The following is a 24000-nucleotide window of genomic DNA, read 5'->3' as shown; positions in this document are numbered from 1 at the left end:
ATCACTTTGTACCCTTGAAATCTATACAACTATGATCTGTCAATTTATAATAAAATAGATAAATTAATTTTTTAAAAGAGATGAAGTTTGAATACTCACCAAATTGTTATCTATTCAGATTAGGATGTTGTATAGAAAAATATAAAAGTCACATTTCTAGGGAAAATGGTGATATATGCACAGATTTACAATTTACCTCTACAAATCAGCTTGAAATAGAAACAAATAAAAATACAAGTGGTATACAGTAGCAACATTGAAATCAGGCATTGGTTCTAGCCTCTATACTATAAAATGTGGGAAACATTAATTTAATATATACTAGATTCTTCACTCAGCAACTGAGATGTATTAAGTACTTCTCATATTCCCTGGTAATTAGGAATCAAGAAATACCAAGAAATGAAGAAAATAAACATAGACTATATGCAAAACCATTGTGTCAAAGATAGATTTAAAAACTCTGAGAATCAGAGTATAATTTTAATAAGAGCGATTGAAGAAAAATATCTTAAAGAGCAGAGGAAAAGACAGATATGAAAGATTTAGAGAAGAGCTGATAGAATGGAAAGGCAAAGCATATTAATACATGGATAGTTGATATGACTGAAGAAGAAAATTGAAATAATGAAATAGAAAAGTACATTGGATAGAAAATACAGATAGTATTTATAAATAAATAGATTGAAATAGTTCACAGTAATCCAGAAAAAAAAATACGATAGTGAGACTTACATTGTTGAATTTACCAAATTTAAAAATCAAAGAAAGAATCTTAGGAAATATGGATAGAAGAAGCTGGAGAAATAAGAAGGATACTTGCATTCATTTATTAATCAACATTAAATGACAGAAAACAATGGAGTAGGACTTTTGCTTCTAGTGTGGCTAACACTCCCTCTTTTATAACTTTTAGCTTAAGTGCAGACACTGCACAGAAAGGCTAAAACACTGGTAGAAAATTCAGTTTATCTAAGAGGAGAGCCGGAAAGTAAAAGAGGAATATTGCAAAGGAGAGAGCTAAAAGGGGGCTGCCCCAAATGATATGCATAAACTCTGCTCAAGTACCTGACGGAAAATGAACAAAGCATATATGCAAAGCATTCACAAACTAGCCCAACTGTCACTCAACTTTTGAGCTGTCACCCAAAAATCAGTGTTTGCAATTTGAGTTAAATGAAGTTAATTGCCTTTTAAAACCACTGAAAACTCCGAAGGAACATTACCAGACATAAGTCTCCACAAAAAAAGGAAACAGACAAACAAAACATTCATAAGGCGCAGGATACAATCCAAAATTATACATATAATGGTACAGAAAAATTTAATAAGACTAGAGAGAAAAGACGAATGCCAAAATGAACTAGATGTTGGAATTGGCACACAAAAACTTTAAAGCAGCCATTTAGTAATAGGAAATATGCTTGCAATTAATGAAAAAGTAAGAATTTTCAAGTTATGAGTAGAAATATGTAATAAAAATTCTACAGCTTAAAATATAATATCTAAAATTTAAAATTCACTGGATAGGTTTAATACCAGAATACAGTAGAAGAGAAAACAATCAGTGACCTTGAATATTGATCCAATATGAATAAAACAGAAACAAAATTTATAAAGAGTGAACAGTGCCTCAGGGACTTGTGTCATCAATATCAAACCACATAGTGTAGATGTAATCAGAGTCCCAGTAGAAGAGAAGTAACCAGGTTGAAAATATATTTGAAGATAATTTCACAAGTATAGCAAAAGACAAATTTAAAGATTCAGAAAGCTTGAAGAACTCTAAGCAAATAATTATTAGAACTTAAATAGACAACATTTATTTGCAAAATACCAGAACTGACACAAGATCACACAGAAAATTTGAATACTTCTATATCCTATTGAAGAAATAGAATTTTTATGAAGAAAAAACATTTCCACAAATAAAACTCCAAGTACAAATATTCTCATTGGTGAGTTCTATTAAATATTTAATAAAGGAAAAATGACATAACTCAAACTGCATTAGAAGATAGAATCTAGCCTAAACCTATAACCAAAACCTGATATATTATCCACAAGAGAATTATACACCAATATACCTCATGACAATAGTTGTAAAAATTTTTAGCCAAATATTAAGAAATCAAAATGAGCAACATACATGGATACATGATCAAGTAAAATGTATCCAAAGTAAGTTTATGTGATAACATTGATAAATCAATTAATGTAACATACATTATTTAAAGATTAAATAATAAAAATAAAATAAAATAAAATAATAAATAAAATCTCATTTTTAATAAATAAATAAATAAATAAAATAATGAATAAATAAATAAAATAATAAATAAATAAAAATAAATACATTAAAAAATAATAAATAAATAAATAAATAAAACAAAAATCTAATTCAAGAAGACCAAAGATGAAAGCATATAGTAATACTCATAACTAGCTGCATCTTCAAAGTATGGAAAATGAAGAAAACCTTGCACACAAGAATACAGAGTATATAATTCCATTTTTTACGGAATCTAAAAATACAGAATTAATATATATTGATACAAAAAAAGCAGTTGTTAATTATTAACTTAGGGAACTAGGATGTGAATTTACTTGGGAGAGGTATTAGGGAACTCTTTGTGATGGTAATAGTAATCTGTCTCTATAGAGGAGGTCGGGTTACACAGATAAATCCATTTGCCAAAATGTTGCAAATATGGATTTAAGATTTATACATTTCATTGAATGTAATTTATTGATTTAAAAGTTATAAACACATTAGAGTCCAGTTAGTTATATAAATGTGAAGTATTTGGAGGGAGAAATGTACTATTACATTCAATTTATTTCAAAAGCATCCCAAAATAAAATGGATGAATGAATAGATACACAGATGTATAGATGGATGCATGTGTGATCACGCACAGATGGTAAAGTGCTAATGGTAGAAGCTAAGTGGTTAGTTTTGGGGTGTTCATTGTAAAATTCTTTTGACTTGGCTCTACATATGGACATTTTTATAATAAAAAAACTGAAGGAAAAAGAAGACAATGGAACAATTTCTATAATGTTTTGAGGGTAGTGGGTGACTCCAGGATTGTATACTAAGATAAATTTATTATAACATGTATAGGAAGTAGATACAAATGCTCAAATATTAAAGAGTCCAAAAACTCTATTGCATATGTGTTTGTCCTAAAAAATCAACTCAAAGACATAATTCAACCACAGAAAGAAGGAAGTTGTGTAGATATCATATTTTTTACATTTTAATTGTAAAATAACATATACATACTACAATTTTTGAAAAGCATAAACCAATGTAAATAAAAGAGCAATACTAAGAGAGTGAAACAAAAAGCTCATTGTCTATTGTGAAGAAATCAGAGGTGGCACAGACAGAGAAAGTAGGAAGAAATACAAATTAAGTTTTTAAATAGTTCGTAAGGGAGGCAACATTTCAGAAGTTGCTAAATAAAAAGTGTAAGTTTACACCCAAATATGTAAGGCTTTAAAAGTAATCATGAGATTAACAGAAGTGAACTATACAACTTTCAAATTTCCATGTTGGGACATGGGGAGCACGGAGCTACTTTCAATAAAACATGGAAAATGTAGTAAAAGGTTGAAATAGAAAGAAAGAGCTAGTAAGAATAAAAACAGAAACTGTAAATTACAATGAAAATAGTTCAAATTTTGTTATAAAAATAAGCACAGGTATATTCAATTCATGTATTAAAAGCAAGGAGTTTAATATGATTAATAAACAAACTCACATAATGTTCTAAGTAAGAGAAAAAAAGATTCAGAAAAATAAAAATATTTGCAGAAATACTGGAAAAATGAAAACCAAGAGCAAAACAAAACAGAGCAAGAGAGATAGAAAGGTTAACATTAGATATAGTTAAACACAAGATAGACTATATTAAGTAGACCAGCAAATGATTAACATGGTTTGGTATATTTGTTAAATATATAATTCCCATAAACATATCACTTACATTTATTTCTATAATAGAACTTAAGTAGCCTATATTAGAACTTGGACATTATTCTAGGAACTTTACAGCAATTGGATACAAATAAAAAACCCATGAGGTAATTATAATTATTTTACAGGTGAGGAAACTGTAGTTTAAGTAACACAATAGGTAAGTCTGAGTCCTGTTTTCTGCTCTTAAACACTATGCTAAACTCTCTTGGAACTTTATGTGCTAAATAATATCTTTTCATGATATATGAAACAAAACTACGAGACGATGAAGGAGATATCGAAATAGAATTGTTATGTAAGGAAGACTTTGATACATTTCCTAAGTTTTTAAAAATAGGGTAGATAAACATAAGTAAGGAAGAAGAAAATCTGGATATTATAATGAATGTATGCAACCTAGGAGATATTTATATATGTTACACAATGAAAATAAAAAATGTGCTTTATTTTAAAAATAACATAAGGAATGTCCAAAAATTGATAATACACGAGGCCACCAAAATAAAAAACATTGAAAAAAAACCACAATTCCAATAAATATATACAAGACAGGCTGAAAAACAGCATATTTGAACAAAGGTAATAAGAGTAGAGAAAACAAGAGTAAAAAACCCTCAAAATCGAACCATTAAAAAATATAATAACACTTTCATAAGGACCTCTTAGGTTCTGACTTTCCTGATCATTTAAAATTCTCTTTCTTCCTATTACCCTTTCTCCCTTTCTGCCTGTCTGTGCTCCTTTCTTCCTCCCTGAATAATTAGGTTCATAAGCCACCAGGCACGCATGCTTGAAAGGCCCAGCATGGCCCAGTGTGGACTGCTGGAACATAAACAGGATGAAGTGGATATGTGTGCCAGCCCGATGATAGAACAACATAGAATATTGGATCCCAAGTGGGCTTGCAGAGGACTGCCCTCCCAGAAGAGTGATGGTGGCAGTGGGAAAGGCAGAAGCAATTCTGCATAGAATGTCAGAGGTTGATGGAAAAGAGAAACTGCACTCGGAGTGGGTGGCCACATGAGGAGGGCATCCATTTGGCAGGGGTGGGTGGTGGTGGCAGCCAGTCACAGGAGCTAGGTTGTATGCAGGGAGACTGAAGAAAATGAAAATAGACTGAAGATAATGTCAAAGAAGGAAGGAAGAAACAAGAATACCTGGGAAGGTAAAATGTAAAATGAACCCTCTAGTGTTAGGTTCAACTTGGATGTGTCAGTGTGAACCTAAAGTTTTAACAATAGATGATAGAGAAATAGATGGATAAATGATAGATAGATAGATAGAGAATGATATAGAGAAATACGTACGAAAATGTGGATGTTTGGGTGCTAATATACATGAACATATACATGTTCTTAAGTTTGGTGCATTGACAGGGCACAAGGAACTGCAATATACCAATAACAATAAACACATCTAGTGCCCAGATCTTTGTTCTGAAACAGAATTCACTATTAAAAGGAACCAATGTTCTTGAGAGGAAGAAATACTTGATTACATTGGGGAAGTAGGGAAACCACAGGTGAACTTGCAACATCTTAAAGATTGAAGCAGCATGTCAAAAGGACACAGGAGCTATCCTGAAGGGCTCCCATTGGCCAAAATATGAGATAATTTGGACATCAAAATAACAGTAGCAACAGACTAAAATCCATGGAGTAGAGTGAGAATCCATGAGTGCAGGCTGATTTAAATGAATGTGTTAATAAATAAATGCAGAGGAAGCAAAGCTTTTATCTATGATGGATGGAGTGCCAACTGAAGAAATGTAGAAGAAATGATGAGGGAAATGAAGAATCATCATCATTTGGCAACTGTCATGGTGATTGTTGTTTCGACTAAAAAACATTATCTGATGCTGGAATTAGTAGATGAAAGTTTGATAAGGCATGGAATGTTTACATAGTTTCAAAGTACCCTTTCACAAAACATTTATTCCAAAGAGGGAAAGAATAATCTTACAGACGATAAACTTGGTAACTACCAACTTAAATCAAGTGATCAGTGATCAGAGTTAACATCACCAGTAATGGGACAAATTTAAATCATGCACTACCTGGTAGAAAGCAACGGAATGAACACAGCATCACTTCTGTGACATTCCTGTCCAAAATAAATGGCCCAAATCTAATCCTGGAAAGCAGACAAACCAGGTTGAGGGATATTCTGCAAAATTATTGCTCTGTGAAACAATGGGATCTTAAATGTCAATGAGGACTGGGAATACCTTCTAGATTGAAGGAGCCTCAACAAATATGACAACGGAATGTGGCACATGATCCAGGATTGGATCTGTTACCTATAAAGACCCTTGTTAGGACAACTGGGGAAGCCTGAGCAAGATCTGTGGAATTATGGTGGTCATCTTACCATAGTTATTACAAAAGCAAATTCATTGTGCCTGTCCATATCAAGATGGCCTAGCAGTATCATCATAACATGCTAAAAAGAATATTTACAATTTTTTTCAGTAATATCAACTTTACCTATTTTTCATTGCAACCCCTTAAAAAGGCAGCTTATTTTGTGTGTCACTCACTATAATCTATGTAGTGACAACTTAATGCCTTTGATGCATGAAATCTTGGGGGGAAAAGTATATACTCTCTGCTGAACAACAAACTAAAACCATTAAAAAAACAAAATAGTAAGCCCTAGAGACAAAATTCAAAGTTCTTTTACTTTAAAAATTCAGTTGAACAAGACCGGCTCTCAGAAATAAAATCAGGTAGAGCATGCCCATGTATATTAATTAAACTCTCTGAAAATAAAAATTTAGAAATGCAGCTCCAAACAAGGCATGGAACACTGCAGAGTGGAAGCCCTGCAGCTGTGACTTATGTTTTGTCCTAGGTAATATCAAGCAGTGGTTCTTTCACTTTGTCTGGCAGCCAGGAAGCTACAGGTGTTGAAGGAGTTGTCACGGTTCAAGGCTACGTTGTCAGGTACTCAGGTAGGTGCAAGAGAAAAGACAGCTCTACATTTTGATTTTGGCCCTCTAGGAGGTTACTCTCCAAAATGCAAAAGCTGGTATTTCCAGTTAAAAACAGAATGCCAACAATTATGGGAAAATAATAAAACTTACATCTCAAGATGTTCAACTACGAATTAGGCCAAAAAATGTCAGCGTAATCAGAATATAATTTCTGACTTCAAAAGTAGCACAGGATACACTTGCATCTAGAGTCACAGTCTAGGGAGGAATCAGTGCCATGCAGGTTTAAGCCACATTGCTTCTCCTAAAAGGAAAAGTAGCTCTGACTTACAGGGCAGAATCCATCCCTTTTGCAGCCAATCGAAAATATTATTATTAATTTTAATGGCAAACCTGCAATTACGTTTGTACCAATCTAATATAAATGCATAACACTGAATAACTAGAGGGCCTGCAGTTTAAGAAGGCTGCTTCTGTATGCAAATTTATCCCTGATCCCTTGTTTATGTTTCTTCAGATTCCACTCCATTCTTGTTTGCCTACACTAAATTCAGATTAGACTTATCAGATCTGTGTTTTGGTAAGTCAATAAGTCAAAACAATTACAATTCAGGTGACTGCCTCTTTGTTTTTCCACTGCAAGCTATGATTTACCTAGTAAATACTATCAGGAAGAGTTCACACATGAGAGAAAAGGGCAAAACAAATGTATTCATTATAACACATGAAAACTGAAAAGCAAAACCTCTTCTGGTCAATGTCTTACAGTGCAGAAGAGAGGACCTCAAAGTGCAACATGAAAAACAAGCACCTTTGAGTGTTCACGGGGGCCACCAGAAGCCAGAAAACTTAATTGAGTTGCATGGAACATGGCTTCTGACCTTAGGGCAGTCACCTGACATGATGATTTCACCAATGAAATAGAACACCAACACGGTCCTGAACTGTACCAATGTTTCTAAGACAATCAAGCAACCTGACTGCTTTCCTGAGAAAGACAATGTAGACATTGAAGAAATAAAAAGGGGATGGCTCTAAGACGAATTCAGCAATCTGAAAGAACACTGTTGCATAGCAGAGGGGATTTAGATGTTTTAAAAGGACGGTCTGCTGGAAAATCCACTAAAGGCTGTGAGTTCATACTGTTGCTTTATTCAAAATTATTTGACTTAGATTAAGTCTTACTCCACATGCTCACCTGCTGTGAAATGAATACTACCACTACATGCCTGCAGTGGCTTCCACTTTCCACCATCACGTTACTGCCAATAACCATTTGCCCAATAGCAGCTTTAAATGCCTTACACGGAGAGGAAGCCACTTTAAGATCTAATAACATTCATTCTAAAAGTCTTTGCTAAAAAGGGCAGAATTGCAAGGTTGCAGGAAATAGCCCTTTTATAGAGAGTTCATCATGAAACATGGCAGGATGAATGTGCAAATATGTGTGCATGGGGGTATTGGGAGAGACAATTAGGAAAAAGAGGGGCTGTATCCAACTGATTTTTCTCACTATGGCACAAAGAAAATCATTCTACATATATTTATTGAAGCTTTAAGGAACTGTGTTAGTAGCTGCATATGAATAAACAAATACAGACCCTGCCATCTTGAAGTTTTCAGAACACATGAAGGGCAGGCTAACTTCAGTAGCTTAATTTTTTCCATTTTCTAATCTACGTCGATGGACACATGATAAATGAAGAACTGAGATTATCTATAGCCCAACTGTGCTAATGTTTTGTTTGGTAGAAATACTTTCACCCATAATAACAAGCACATGGGTTTGTTTTTCAAACAAACAAACAAGGGTTTATTTTTCCTTGCATTACAAGAAATACGAAGGTAAGTAGTAGTTGACATTAGCTTATCTTCTCAATGATTCATCAAGATCTTCTTTCTACTCTTCCACTCTGACATTTTTACATGTTGAATTTTTATCCTTAGATATGTTGCCTCATGTTTGCAATATGGCTATTTCAACTCAAAAGAAACACAACTACCTTCAAAGGCAGGAAGAAAAGCTAGGAGAGTAAGCGGTTCTTCTCTGTCTTTCTATTTTTATTACAAATCAAGACATCCTATAAGTTCCTACTAACAAATATTTCCTTATATTTTATTGGCTAGTATTGGATCACATACCTATCTCTACGGTAGAGGCAAAATCCACTTTTCTTGAGATCCAAAGTCTTCCAACTTGTTACCTAAAAAATAATCAGAGTTGGGTTAGTTCATAAGACAATACTTGGATAAGCAATCATAGTTTCTGTACATATTTTAATACTCATTTGCAGATTCTTCAACTTACATGAATATGTTCTCATCTGTTTATACTTGAAATTATATGCATAGTATAACAGACACATTTTTACCTTCCTACAAGGGTCTTGACCTTGATTCAGCCGTTGTACACATTTTTAAGTCTTAAAGGTGCTAGGGTAGAGTTCATTGTTATATTACAGTACAAAAACTATCTGGTCTCTCCAAAAATTAAATCCATGCCCTCTGCCTCATTAACCACATATGAGAATCAACTGTGGTGGTAACTGATCCCAAACAAAATTATAATATATAATGTTCTGTTCATATTCTTTTAATATTGTTAGTACTCTACACTCACATGCTCACGAATTAGGCAAATACTAAATCACATCAGTTAGGCAAATGATTCAAAACTACTAAATGTGAACTCAAAAGACACTGAAACAAGAAGGTATCATTTGTTTTCTGTGAGACCCATCTCAAAAAGTTAGAGATGTATCCTCGAACCCCACTTAATGACCTACTATGGATTTAGGATATATAAATTTATCTAAATTTACATATAACCTAATGATAGTTTTAGTCCAGAAAATCTTTCTGAATGATAAATTTTCTGAGATCTGCTACTCATTGTATGTCTCCTGTAGAGTATCAGATAATTCAAAAACTCACAATGTAGTTCCTTTTTCTAAAATGAAAAAAGAGAGCATTCTATTTATTTCAAAAAAGCAACACATGACTTTATCACTATTTATAAGCTCTCGGAGCATCAGTCTTTGTGCTACATACCACAGTAGAACCCGTTACTTTATATAAAACAAACAAAACAACACAAAACACTTGTCTGCATTTAGTCTTATATCTGGCAAGGATCTGTTCTCTAGTTTTATTTAGAGAGCGTCTTTCTCAATAGTTTATAGCAGCTCTGCACTGCAGAAAAAAAAAGATGTCAAAATATAAAATTGGCAAATATAAAATATTTCCTATGCCAATTTTTCGCTTGAAACCTTAGTTTTGCAATAACAATTAATACTTATCTAAAAAGTATATTTAATCAACCAATGCCTCCTACAAGTAAAGTTTGAATCCTATATTTATAGTCCTGTGTCATGTAATATGCATCAGTAATATCCTGCTTCACTGTTGGATGAGGACATGGCAAAATGAGTAAGTTAATGGAGCCATGGACACTACACATTATTATTATATTATCAGTAATAGATTCAGGGTGTACAAGTACAGTTTTGCTACAAAGACATATCGTGCAGTGGTAAAGTCTAGGCTTTTAGTGTACTCATCATCCAAATGGTGTACATTGTACCCAGTAGATAATTTCTCATCCCTCACCCACGTCCCACTTTTTGCAATCTCTGATATCTATTATTCCACTCTATATGTCCACGTGTACACATCACTTAGCTTCCACTTATACATGAGAACATGTAGTATTTGATTTTCTGAGTTATTGTATTTGGGATTATGGCCTCCAGTTTCATCCATGTTGCTGCAAAAGGCAACATATATATGACAATATGTTTTATATAATACATCACATATGTGAAATATAAATGACACACATATATGTCATATATATGACATTCACACACACACAAACATATACAGACACACACACACACATATATATATATAATAGTTTATTTATCCAATCATCTAATAATGGACATCTGGGTTGACTTCATGACTTTGCTATTGAGAATAGTACTGCAATAAATGTGTGAATGCAGGAGATATATTATAATTTACATTCTCACCAACAGTGTATAACAGTGCCCTTTTCTCTGAATCCCCATCAACATCTGTTGTCTTTTGACTTTTTAATAATAGTCATTCAGACTGGTGTAAGATAATATCTCACTGTGGTTTTAATTTACATTTCTTCGATGATTAGTGATGGTGAGCATTTTTATTTGTTAGTCACTTGTATGTCTTCTTTTGAGAAATGTGTGTTTATGTTTTTTGCCAACTTTTTAATGGGCTTATTTTTTTTTCTTCTTGAGTTGTTTGAGTTCCCTGTAGATTCTGGATAGCAGTTCTTTTTCAAATGCATAGTTTACAAATATTTTATCCCTTCTGTAGATTGTATGTTTATTTGTTGATAATTTCTTTTGTTGTGAAGAAGCTTTTTAATTAAATCCCATTTGTCTATTTCGTTACATTTGCTTTTGAGATCTTAGTCATAAATTATCCCTGTGATTTCCTATAGGACCTTTAAAGTTTCAAGTCTTATATTTAACTTGTTAATTCATTTGAGTTGATTTTTGTATATGGTGACAGAAAGCAGTTCAGTCTTCTACTTATAGCTATCCAATTTTTCTAGTACCAATTATTGAATAGAGTGTCCTTTCTCCAGTTATATTTGTATTATTTTGTCAATTTTGTCAAAAATCAGTTGGTTGTAGATGTGTGGCTTTATTTCTAGTTTCCCTACTCTGCAATTGATCTATGTATCTATTTTTAAACCAGTACCATGCTCTTTCGGTACTATAGTCTTGTAGTATAATTTGAAGTCAGGTAATGTGATGCCTCCCACTTTGCTGTTTCTGCTTAAGATTGTTTTGATGATTCAGACTTTTTTTTTCTGGTTCCATATGAATTTTAGAATTGTTTTGTCTAATCATGGGAAAAATGACATTGGTAATTTGATAGGTGTTGCACTGAATCTGTAGATTGCTTTGGGCAGTGTGGTTATTTTAACAATATTGATTCTCCCATTCCACGAACATGGGATTTTTTTTTTGCATGTATTTGTGTCATCTATAATTTCGTTCATCAGTGTTTTGTGGTTCTCTTTCTGGATATTTTACTATTTTTGTAGCTATTGTAAATGGGTTCTTAATTTGGTTCTCAGCTTGATTGTTTTTGGTGTATACAATTGCTACTGATTTTTGAATACTGGTTTGCATACTGAAGCTTTACTAAAGTCATTTATCACATCTAGTTATCTTTTGGATGACTCTTTAGGATTTTTTAGGTATAAGATCATGTCAGCAGAATACTTCCTCTTTTTTCTATCTGGATGACTTTTACATTTTCTCCTCTTTAATTGCTCTACCTAGGACTTCCAGTACTATGTTAAATAGGAATAGTGAAAGTGGGCAAAGTAAATTTTGACTCGAACCCTTACATCAAAATTGACTCCAGAGGGATTACAGATATAAATACAAAAGTAACAGTAGAAAGCTTTTATTAAAAAACACAGCACAGTAACTTTGTGATGGAATAGGCAAGTATTTCTTAAGATGACACAATAATCAGTAACCTTAATTTTTTTAAAATGATAAATTAAACTATATTAAAATTAAAAGCCTGTGTTTGTTAACGTATAGCATTAAGAGACTGAACATTTAATCCACAGAAGAAAAAATATATTAAAAATATGTACATCTGAAAAGACATTTTTTCATATCTAAAATATCCAAATAATTTTCAAATCAACAGAAGTCAGAAATCCAATGGAAAAAGGGTTTTAAAGATACTCTACATAAGAAGACATCTAAATGAGCTGGTTTTCAAAGGGAATGCTTCCAGCTTTCGCCCATTCAGTATGATATTGGCTATGAGTTAGGGAGTAGTCCTTCTTTTTCTATTGCGGAGAACAGTTTCAGAAGGAATGGTACCAGCTCTTCTTTGTACCTCTGATAGAATTCAGCTATGAATCTGTCTGGTCCTGGGCTTTTTTTGGTTGATACACTATTAATTACTGCCTCAATTTCATAACTTGTTATTGGTCTATTCAGGGATTTGACTTCTTCCTGGTTCAGTCTTGGGAGGGTGAATGTGTCCAGGAATTTATCAATTTCTTCTAGATTTTCTAGTTTACTTGCATAGAGGTGTTTATAGTATTCTCTGATGGTAGTTTGTATTTCTGTGGGATCAGTGGTGATATCCCCTTTATCACTATTATTGTGTCTATTTGATTCTTCTCTCTTTTCTTCTTTATTAGTCTGACTAGTGATCTATTTTGTTAATCTTCAAAACACCAGCTCCTGGATTCATTGATTTTTTGAAGGGTTTTTCGTGTCTCTAGCTCCTTCAGTTCTGCTCTGATCTTACTTATTTCTTGTCTTCTGCTAGCTTTTGGATTTGTTTTCTCTTGTTTCTCTAGTTCTTTTAATTGTGATTTCAGGGTGTCGATTTGTGATCTTTCTAGCTTTCTGATATGGGCATTTAGCGCTACAAATTTCCCTCCTAACACTGTTTTTGCTGTGTTCCAGAGATTCTGATACATTGTCTCTTTGTTCTCATTGGTTTCAAATAACTTCTTTAAAAAAGTCAGGAAACAACAGATGCTGGAGAGGATGTTGAGAAATAGGAACACTTTTACACTGTTGGTGGGAGTGTAAATTAGTTCAACCATTGTGGAAGACAGTGTGGTGATTCCTCAAGGATCTAGAACCAGAAATACCATTTGACTCAGCAATCCCATTACTGGGTATATACTCAAAGGAGTATAAAACATTCTACTATGCAGACATATGCACACGTATGTTTATTGCAGCAGTATCTAGAAGAGCAAGGATTTAGAACCAACCCAAATGGCCATCAATAATAGACTGAATAAAGAAAATGTGGCACATACACACCATGGAATACTATGCAGCCATAAAAAAGAATGAGTTCATCTCCTTTGCAGAGACATGGATGAAGCTGGAAGCCATCATCCTCAGCAAACTAACACAGGAACAGAAAACCAAACACCACATGTTCTCACTCATAAGTGGGAGCTGAACAATGCAAACACATGGACACAGGGAGGGGAACATCACACCAGGGACCTGTCAGTGGGTAAGGGGAAAGTGGAGGGAGAGCATTAGGACAAATACCTAATGCATACGGGCTTAAAACCTGAATGACGGGTTGATTGGCTCAGCAAACCACTGTGGCACATGTATACCTATGTAACAAACCTACATGTTCAGCACATTTATCCCAGAACTTAAAGTAAAAGTTAAAAAAAAAAGAAAAAAAGTGCTTGACTTCATTAGTTATTAAGAAACATAAGGTGAAATCACAGGTGATTGTTTTATACACCCAAAATATAGCTAAAATAGAAAATGGAGAAAATATCCAGTGTTAGGCTATAGACCAACTAGAACTCTTATAGATGAGTCGTATGGATGGCAATTGGTAAAGTCACTTTACAAGACTCTTTGACAGTTGCTACTAAAGATGACCAGTTATACACTGTATGATACAGCAGATCTACTTCATTCCAATTCTAACAGAAATGTGTACACTTGAACGTTCATGAAAGCACTATTTATTATAGAAAAGAATAAAAAAAAGTACCAAATGCATCAACAGTAGAATGGATAAATTGTGGCCTCTTAACAAAATGAAATATACAACAATGAGAATGAATGATGTACAACTACAAACAAAAATGTGGACAAATCTCACAAACCTTTTGTTAAGCAAAATAGACCAGAAACCACACTAAACAATTCTATTCAGGCAAAGCTCCCAAACAGGCAAAACCAATATATTATGTGAGAAATCAGAAACACCTTGATTATGTTATTTTTAACTACAGCTTTCCAAAAAAGGTAAGCTTGAAAGTCTACATCCAATAACTGAAAATTATATAGTAATTAATGTTTTACAGGTTTCAATATTACTGTGTGAAGTTATGATTGTGTGATTTCAGATCAGCAGTTTGGACCCAATGGTTTACTGATACTCTCTTTGAATAGGAAACAGGCTAGCAACCTAATATGTGTGGTTTTTTTTTTGTTTTTTTTTTTTTTTTTGAGATGGAGTCTCGCTCTGTTGTCCAGGCTGGAGTGCAGTGGCACAATTTCGGCTCACTGCAAGCTCTGTCTTCCGGGTTCACACCATTCTCCCGCCTCAGCCTCCTGAGTAGCTGGGACTACAGGTGCCCGCCACCACACCCGGCTAATTTTTTGTATTTTTAGGAGAGACAGGGTTTCACCGTGTTAGCCAGGATGGTCTTGATCTCCTGACCTTGTGATCCGCCCCCTCGGCCTCCCAAAGTGCTGAGATTACAGGCATGAGCCACCGCACCCGGCCATACGTGTTTCTTAACAAGGAAAAAATGGTACATGAGCCAAATGACGTGGTTTATTCGTACATATCTTTAAAATAAAGAGATTTCTTATGTGGAAAATAAGCAGGTAGAAGTTTAGGCATTCATTGTCTGAAAGCGTTTTATTTGCCTATCAACACCTAGAATGGAGTACATTTTATCAAATTTACTTTGCAGGAATTTTATTAAAATGTGCCTCACAAAGTCATATTTTATTACTTTCAAATTATGGCTACATGAAGGAATGGTTAAAGAAACATTAACCTAAGGTACTGATTCCACATGAAAAAAAACTTGCATTTTTTTTAAAAAAGACACGAGTCACATCTATGAGAGTTACTAAAGACAGCGTTGACTTAACATTTCAGTCAATCATTCAAATTAAACTTTTCCAAATGTCTCAAATTATAATTTTGAATAACTAATATGTAAAGTTCATTTATATAGTGATGTCTACCACATTTCTGTAATTTTTCTGTATATGCATGTGAATATGTGTATTTGTACCTCTAGAAAGGACTATAAAAGCCATTCCAAATATACATTAAAATGTTAAATTTTTTTCAGAAGTCTCTACTTTAAGATTATGTTGGCATTAAAATACTCATCAACAGAATAATAACTTACATAATAATCAAATATTGTTGTTAAAGAAGAAAGAGCTACTCTATGGATTTCCTAGTAACACTTCATACGAAAAAATATTAAAAGCATAATTTAAAAATTATTATACTAATTAAGATAACTGTATACACACACAAAAGATAGTGTAAAGAATGTTTTATAATTTATTTCACAAAGAGGGGGAAAAGATCATTTAAACATTCAGCACAAAACACTTCTTTTTTCATATGATTAAGCTGTGCTGCACATTAGGAATGCCAATTAAAGTTTCAAATTATATTTCTGGAACCAGCTGCCAGTAGCATCCATCTTCCTCAAAAGTAGCATCTGTGAAGCTGGTGGCATGGGACCAGATTTTTGGACACTATGGGGTAGAATATCATAAACTTTACATTTTTCCAAAAAATCTTCTTAAAATTTTCTCAGCTATTCCCTATCCATTTATCATTTAAAAGCTTCCCATTATTTTATATTATTTTGGACTTTAAAAAGAACTACTGCATCTTAGTCATATTAGCTTTTTTCTTTTTTTTTATTATTACTATTATTATTATTTTTTTTTAATTATACTTTAAGTTTTAGGGTACATGTGCACATTGTGCAGGTTAGTTACATATGTATACATGTGCCATGCTGGTGCGCTGCACCCACTAACTCGTCATCTAGCATTAGGTATATCTCCCAATGCTATCCCTCCCCCCTCTCCCCTCCACACCACAGTCCCCAGAGTGTGATATTCCCCTTCCTGTGTCCATGTGATCTCATTGTTCAATTCCCACCTATGAGGGAGAATATGCGGTGTTTGGTTTTTTGTTCTTGCGATAGTTTACTGAGAATGATGGTTTCCAATTTCATCCATGTCCCTACAAAGGACATGAACTCATCATTTTTTATGGCTGCATAGTATTCCATGGTGTATATGTGCCACATTTTCTTAATCCAGTCTATCATTGTTGGACATTTGGGTTGGTTCCAAGTCTTTGCTATTGTGAATAATGCTGCAATAAACATACGTGTGCATGTGTCTCTATAGCAGCATGATTTATAGTCATTTGGGTATATACCCAGTAATGGGATGGCTGGGTCAAATGGTATTTCTAGTTCTAGATCCCTGAGGAATGGCCACACTGACTTCCACAATGGTTGAACTAGTTTCCAGTCCCACCAACAGTGTAAAAGTGTTCCTGTTTCTCCACATCCTCTCCAGCACCTGTTGTTTCCTGACTTTTTAATGATTGCCATTCTAACTGGTGTGAGATGATATCTCATAGTGGTTTTGATTTGCATTTCTCTGATGGCCAGTGATGATGAGCATTTTTTCATGTGTTTTTTGGCTGCATAAATGTCTTCTTTTGAGAAGTGTCTGTTCATGTCCCTCGCCCACTTTTTGATGGGGTTGTTTGTTTTTTTCTTGTAAATTTGTTTGAGTTCATTGTAGATTCTGGATATTAGCCCTTTGTCAGATGAGTAGGTTGTGAAAATTTTCTCCCATGTTGTAGGTTGCCTGTTCACTCTGATGGTAGTTTCTTTTGCTGTGCAGAAGCTCTTTAGTTTAATTAGATCCCATTTGTCAATTTTGGCTTTGGTTGCCATTGCTTTTGGTGTTTTGGACATGAAGTCCTTGCCCACGCCTATGTCCTGAATGGTAATGCCTAGGTTTTCTTCTAGGGTTTTTATGGTTTTAGGTCTAACGTTTAAGTCTTTAATCCATCTTGAATTGATTTTTGTATAAGGTGTAAGGAAAGGATCCAGTTTCAGCTTTCTACATATGGCTAGCCAGTTTTCCCAGCACCATTTATTAAATAGGGAATCCTTTCCCCATTGCTTGTTTTTCTCCGGTTTGTCAAAGATCAGATAGTTGTAGGTATGTGGCGTTATTTCTGAGGGCTCTGTTCTGTTCCATTGATCTATATGTCTGTTTTGGTACCAGTACCATGCTGTTTTGGTTACAGTAGCCTTGTAGTATAGTTTGAAGTCAGGTAGTGTGATGCCTCCAGCTTTGTTCTTTTGGCTTAGGATTGACTTGGCGATGCGGGCTCTTTTTTGGTTCCATATGAACTTTAAAGTAGTTTTTTTCAATTCTGTGAAGAAAGTCATTGGTAGCTTGATGGGGATGGCATTGAATCTGTAAATTACCTTGGGCAGTATGGCCATTTTCACGATATTGATTCTTCCTACCCATGAGCGTGGAATGTTCTTGCATTTGTTTGTATCCTCTTTTATTTCCTTGAGCAGTGGTTTGTAGTTCTCCTTGAAGAGGTCCTTCACATCCCTTGTAAGTTGGATTCCTAGGTATTTTATTCCCTTTGAAGCAATTGTGAATGGGAGTTCACTCATGATTTGGCTCTCTGTTTGTTTGTTGTTGGTGTATAGGAATGCTTGTGATTTTTGTACATTGATATTGTATCCTGAGACTTTGCTGAAGTTGCTTATCAGCTTAAGGAGATTTTGGGCTGAGACGATGGGGTTTTCTAGATAAACAATCATGTCGTCTGCAAACAGGGACAATTTGACTTCCTCTTTTCCTAATTGAATACCCTTTATTTCCTTCTCCTGCCTGATTTCCCTGGCCAGAACTTCCAACACTATGTTGAATAGGAGCGGTGAGAGAGGGCATCCCTGTCTTGTGCCCGTTTTCAAAGGGAATGCTTCCAGTTTTTGCCCATTCAGTATGATATTGGCTGTGGGTTTGTCATAGATAGCTCTTATGATTTTGAAATATGTCCCATCAATACCTAATTTATTGAGAGTTTTTAGCATGAAGGGTTGTTGAATTTTGTCAAAGGCTTTTTCTGCATCTATTGAGATAATCATGTGGTTTTTGTCTTTGGCTCTGTTTATATGCTGGATTACATTTATTGATTTGCGTATATTGAACCAGCCTTGCATCCCAGGGATGAAGCCCACTTGATCATGGTGGATAAGCTTTTTGATGTGCTGCTGGATTCGGTTTGCCAGTATTTTATTGAGGATTTTTGCATCAATGTTCATCAAGGATATTGTTCTAAATTCTCTCTTTTGGTTGTGTCTCTGCCCGGCTTTGGTATCAGAATGATGCTGGCCTCATAAAATGAGTTAGGGAGGATTCCCTCTTTTTCTATTGATTGGAATAGTTTCAGAAGGAATGGTACCATTTCCTCCTTGTACCTCTGGTAGAATTCGGCTGTGAATCCATCTGGTCCTGGACTCTTTTTGGTTGGTAAACTATTGATTATTGCCACAATTTCAGCTCCTGTTATTGGTCCATTCAGAGATTCAACTTCTTCCTGGTTTAGTCTTGGGAGAGTGTATGTGTCAAGGAATGTATCCGTTTCTTCTAGATTTTCTAGTTTATTTGCACAGAGGTGTTTGTAGTATTCTCTGATGATAGTTTGTATTTCTGTGGGATCGGTGGTGATATCCCCTTTATCATTTTTTATTGTGTCTATTTGATTCTTCTTTTTTTCTTTATTAGTCTTGTTAGCGGTCTATCAATTTTGTTGATCCTTTCAAAAAACCAGCTCCTGGATTCATTGATTTTTTGAAGGGTTTTTTGTGTCTCTATTTCCTTCAGTTCTGCTCCGATTTTAGTTATTTCTTGCCTTCTGCTAGCTTTTGAATGTGTTTGCTCTTGCTTTTCTAGTTCTTTTAATTGTGATGTTAGGGTGTCAATTTTGGATCTTTCCTGCTTTCTCTTGTGGGCATTTAGTGCTATAAATTTCCCTCTACACACTGCTTTGAATGCGTCCCAGAGATTCTGGTATGTTGTGTCTTTGTTCTCGTTGGTTTCAAAGTACATCTTTATTTCTGCCTTCATTTCGTTATGTACCCAGTAGTCATTCAGGAGCAGGTTGTTCAGTTTCCATGTAGTTGAGCGGCTTTGAGTGAGATTCTTAATCCTGAGTTCTAGTTTGATTGCACTGTGGTCTGAGAGATAGTTTGTTATAATTTCTGTTCTTTTACATTTTCTGAGGAGAGCTTTACTTCCAACTATGTGGTCAATTTTGGAATAGGTGTGGTGTGGTGCTGAAAAAAATGTATATTCTGTTGATTTGGGGTGGAGAGTTCTGTAGATGTCTATTAGGTCCGCTTGGTGCAGAGCTGAGTTCAATTCCTGGGTATCCTTGTTGACTTTCTGTCTCGTTGATCTGTATAATGTTGACAGTGGGGTGTTAAAGTCTCCGATTATTATTGTGTGGGAGTCTAAGTCTCTTTGTAGGTCACTCAGGACTTGCTTTATGAATCTGGGTGCTCCTGTATTGGATGCATATATATTTAGGATAGTTAGCTCCTCTTGTTGAATTGATCCCTTTACCATTATGTAATGGCCTTGTCTCTTTTGATCTTTGTTGGTTTAAAGTCTGTTTTATCAGAGACTAGGATTGCAACCCCTGCCTTTTTTTGTTTTCCATTGGCTTGGTAGATCTTCCTCCATCCTTTTATTTTGAGCCTATGTGTGTCTCTGCACGTGAGATGGGTTTCCTGAATACAGCACACTGATGGGTCTTGACTCTTTATCTAACTTGCCAGTCTGTGTCTTTTATTGGAGAATTTAGTCCATTTATATTTAAAGTTAATATTGTTATGTGTGAATTTGATCCTGTCATTATGATGTTAGCTGGTGATTTTGCTCGTTAGTTGATGCAGTTTCTTCCTAGTCTCGATGGTCTTTACATTTTGGCATGATTTTGCAGCGGCTGGTACTGGTTGTTCCTTTCCATGTTTAGCGCTTCCTTCAGGAGCTCTTTTAGGGCAGGCCTGGTGGTGACAAAATCTCTCAGCAATTGCTTGTCTGTAAAGTATTTTATTTCTCCTTCACTTATGAAGCTTAGTTTGGCTGGATATGAAATTCTGGGTTGAAAATTCTTTTCTTTAAGAATGTTGAATATTGGCCCCCACTCTCTTCTGGCTTGTAGGGTTTCTGCCGAGAGATCCGCTGTTAGTCTGATGGGCTTCCCTTTGTGGGTAACCCGACCTTTCTCTCTGGCTGCCCTTAACATTTTTTCCTTCATTTCAACTTTGGTGAATCTGACAATTATGTATCTTGGAGTTGCTGTTCTCAAGGAGTATCTTTGTGGCGTTCTCTGTATTTCCTGAATCTGAACGTCGGCCTGCCTTGCTAGATTGGGGAAGTTCTCCTGGATAATATCCTGCAGAGTGTTTTCCAACTTGGTTCCATTCTCCCCATCACTTTCAGGTACACCAGTCAGACGTAGATTTGGTCTTTTCACATAGTCCCATATTTCTTGGAGGCTTTGCTCATTTCTTTTTATTCTTTTTTCTCTAAACTTCCCTTCTCGCTTCATTTCATTCATTTCATCTTCCATTGCTGATACCCTTTCTTCCAGTTGATCGCATCGGCTCCTGAGGCTTCTGCATTCTTCATGTAGTTCTCGAGCCTTGGTTTTCAGCTCGATCAGCTCCTTTAAGCACTTCTCTGTATTGGTTATTCTAGTTATACATTCTTCTAAATTTTTTTCAAAGTTTTCAACTTCTTTGCCTTTGGTTTGAATGTCCTCCCGTAGCTCAGAGTAATTTGATCGTCTGAAGCCTTCCTCTCTCAGCTCGTCAAAATCCTTCTCCATCCAGCTTTGTTCCGTTGCTGGTGAGGAACTGCGTTCCTTTGGAGGAGGAGAGGCGCTCTGCGTTTTAGAGTTTCCAGTTTTTCTGCTCTGTTTTTTCCCCATCTTTGTGGTTTTATCTACTTTTGGTCTTTGATGATGGTGATGTACAGATGGGTTTTCGGTGTGGATGTCCTTTCTGTTTGTTAGTTTTCCTTCTAACAGACAGGACCCTCAGCTTCAGGTCTGTTGGAATACCCTGCCGTGTGAGGTGTCAGTGTGCCCCTGCTGGGGGGTGCCTCCCAGTTAGGCTGCTCGGGGGTCAGGGGTCAGGGACCCACTTGAGGAGGCAGTCTGCCCGTTCTCAGATCTCCAGCTGCGTGCTGGGAGAACCACTGCTCTCTTCAAAGCTGTCAGACAGGGACATTTAAGTCTGCAGAGGTTACTGCTGTCTTTTTGTTTGTCTGTGCCCTGCCCCCAGAGGTGGAGCCTATAGAGGCAGGCAGGCCTCCTTGAGCTGTGGTGGGCTCCACCCAGTTTGAGCTTCCCGGCTGCTTTGTTTACCTAAGCAAGCCTGGGCAATGGCGGGAGCCCCTCCCCCAGCCTCGCTGCCGCCTTGCAGTTTGATCTCAGACTGCTGTGCTAGCAATCAGCGAGATTCCGTGGGCGTAGGACCCTCCGAGCCAGGTGTGGGATATAGTCTCGTGGTGCGCCGTTTTTTAAGCCGGTCTGAAAAGCGCAATATTCGGGTGGGAGTGACCCGATTTTCCAGGTGCGTCCGTCACCCCTTTCTTTGACTCGGAAAGGGAACTCCCTGACCCCTTGCACTTCCCAGGTGAGGCAATGCCTTGCCCTGCTTCGGCTCGTGCACGGTGCGCGCACCCACTGGCCTGCGCCCACTGTCTGGCACTCCCTAGTGAGATGAACCCAGTACCTCAGATGGAAATGCAGAAATCACCCGTCTTCTGCGTCGCTCAAGCTGGGAGCTGTAGACCGGAGCTGTTCCTATTCGGCCATCTTGGCTCCTCCCCCCATATTAGCTTTTCTCAAAGGGACTTTGAACAAATATGGAAGCAAATACCTAATCATCAATTACAAATTGAAGAGGTACCTTTCAGTCAGTGTCAATGTAGCCCTCAGGAAAATGTTCTTTGTAAGTTGAACATACAATTTAGTGAGTTAGAGGGGACTATAGATAAGTTAAGTATCTTTATGTAGTAGGAATTCAAACAGCTAGTAACTCCCAAGCCATAATTTCTACCTGATTTTCCTGGTCTTCCCTTTTCCAAGCTACACATCCTCAGCTTCTTCAAGCCACTATTGATCAGATGGTTGTTGTAATGAACTTAACAGTATCAACATTAAATATGAAGACAGAAAATCAAGGCTTGAGGTGCCTTGCCATCATCAACAGAGATTCAGTGGAATAAGAACAGAGTAGGGGTCTCAGTGGGAGTTAACCTAATACAGTTAATGATGACCAGTGGAAAATCCTTCTCTGGACTTTGAGGGTAAAATTCACGGCATTTCTTCTTATATAAACAGAGAACCCCCGTGTTTAATTAGACATGTAGTGTAAAAACATACGGTTTGGATACAAACTTTAAATGCTCCATTCAATAACAGCACATTATACTTCTAAAATGCCTTCTAATTTTCAAAGTGTATTGTAAACCTGACCTTCACAACACTGTGAGGTCAGCAGAATGTGAATTGTTCTTAACAACACATAGATGAGAAAGCTAGAGTTCACAGCATTATTCTCTGTAACTTCTCACAGCTGGTGAGGGTAGAAAAAAGTCCTCAATCTTCTAATGCTCCGTCCTGACACCTGCTGCCTCCTCATGTCACTGCGTTAGAAGAATATGAAGATGGCTATGAAACGTGACTTGTGGGCCACCAGAAGCCCCATCAGCTGCAAATTTCACCTCTATTACTTTTATGAGCCTCAAACTCCAGAATAGGGATTTATTCCTGTTGAGTTTAAAGGCGTCCTAATGTTTAACGAATAACTTCTAAAATTAAAAACAAAACAAAACAAAACAAAAACATGAAAAAAAAAAAACCCTTTAAGCTTACCCCAGAATACCTTTGAGCAGGAACAGACACGGGTGATTAAGAGAGACACTAAAGGGCACCCAAGACAAATTTCACTACCTTACTTTGTGTCCTGGCTTTGGATCAATCTTAATTCTGTTTTTTTGTTTGTTTGTTTTCTGTGTTTTGCATTGGACCATTAACAAACAGTTTCGTCTCTCTTATGGTCCTAGCTTTTTTTTAAGCATGTTTTTGGTTTGTGTTCTAATAGTAACAATGATGAAACTAGATTTTTAATCTATCTTCAAAATTCTAAGAAGTGTGGACTTTTTAATTAAGTGAGAACACCAATGAATCTTTTTTTGACATCGTTAAATTAAAAGAAGAGGTGAGCCATATTCTCAGAATTTTCAAATGATTCCAGAGCAACACCAAAGGAGAGGGTTTGCAGACATCCTGTGGCTTTGAATAAAAAAAAAAACTAATTTTTAGATATTTTTATTTATTTTCTCTACTAGGTTTGAGAACTTGGTAAGTAAATTTAGCG

The 24000-nt window shown here is 35.7% G+C and overlaps 1 protein-coding gene across 5 annotated transcripts in view, besides 2 other annotated features; it reads right to left on the bottom strand.

Annotated features, from left to right (window-relative positions):
- GALNT13 (polypeptide N-acetylgalactosaminyltransferase 13) overlaps nucleotides 1-24000 on the bottom strand; it is a 1388282-nt gene that overhangs the window by 714679 nt on the left and 649603 nt on the right. For all 5 annotated transcript variants that reach the window (NM_001422882.1, NM_001422883.1, NM_001422881.1 and 2 more), the window contains one exon: nucleotides 9066-9127. The gene's annotated coding sequence lies outside the window, so the exon portion shown is untranslated. The remainder of the gene's footprint in view (nucleotides 1-9065; nucleotides 9128-24000) is intronic.
- Nucleotides 21567-22142: an enhancer, noted in NCBI's record as "NANOG-H3K27ac-H3K4me1 hESC enhancer chr2:154576267-154576842 (GRCh37/hg19 assembly coordinates)". NCBI's record gives its function as "activates a minimal SCP1, AML or CMV promoter by ChIP-STARR-seq in naive H9 embryonic stem cells {active_cell/tissue: H9 hESC(naive)}" and the evidence as "EXISTENCE:reporter gene assay evidence [ECO:0000049][PMID:30033119]".
- Nucleotides 22143-22718: an enhancer, noted in NCBI's record as "NANOG-H3K27ac-H3K4me1 hESC enhancer chr2:154575691-154576266 (GRCh37/hg19 assembly coordinates)". NCBI's record gives its function as "activates a minimal SCP1, AML or CMV promoter by ChIP-STARR-seq in naive H9 embryonic stem cells {active_cell/tissue: H9 hESC(naive)}" and the evidence as "EXISTENCE:reporter gene assay evidence [ECO:0000049][PMID:30033119]".

The sequence above is a fragment of the Homo sapiens genome, chromosome 2 (assembly GCF_000001405.40).
Source record: "Homo sapiens chromosome 2, GRCh38.p14 Primary Assembly".
Classification (NCBI taxonomy): domain Eukaryota; kingdom Metazoa; phylum Chordata; class Mammalia; order Primates; family Hominidae; genus Homo; species Homo sapiens.
This window is presented reverse-complemented; position numbering and strand designations above follow the sequence as displayed.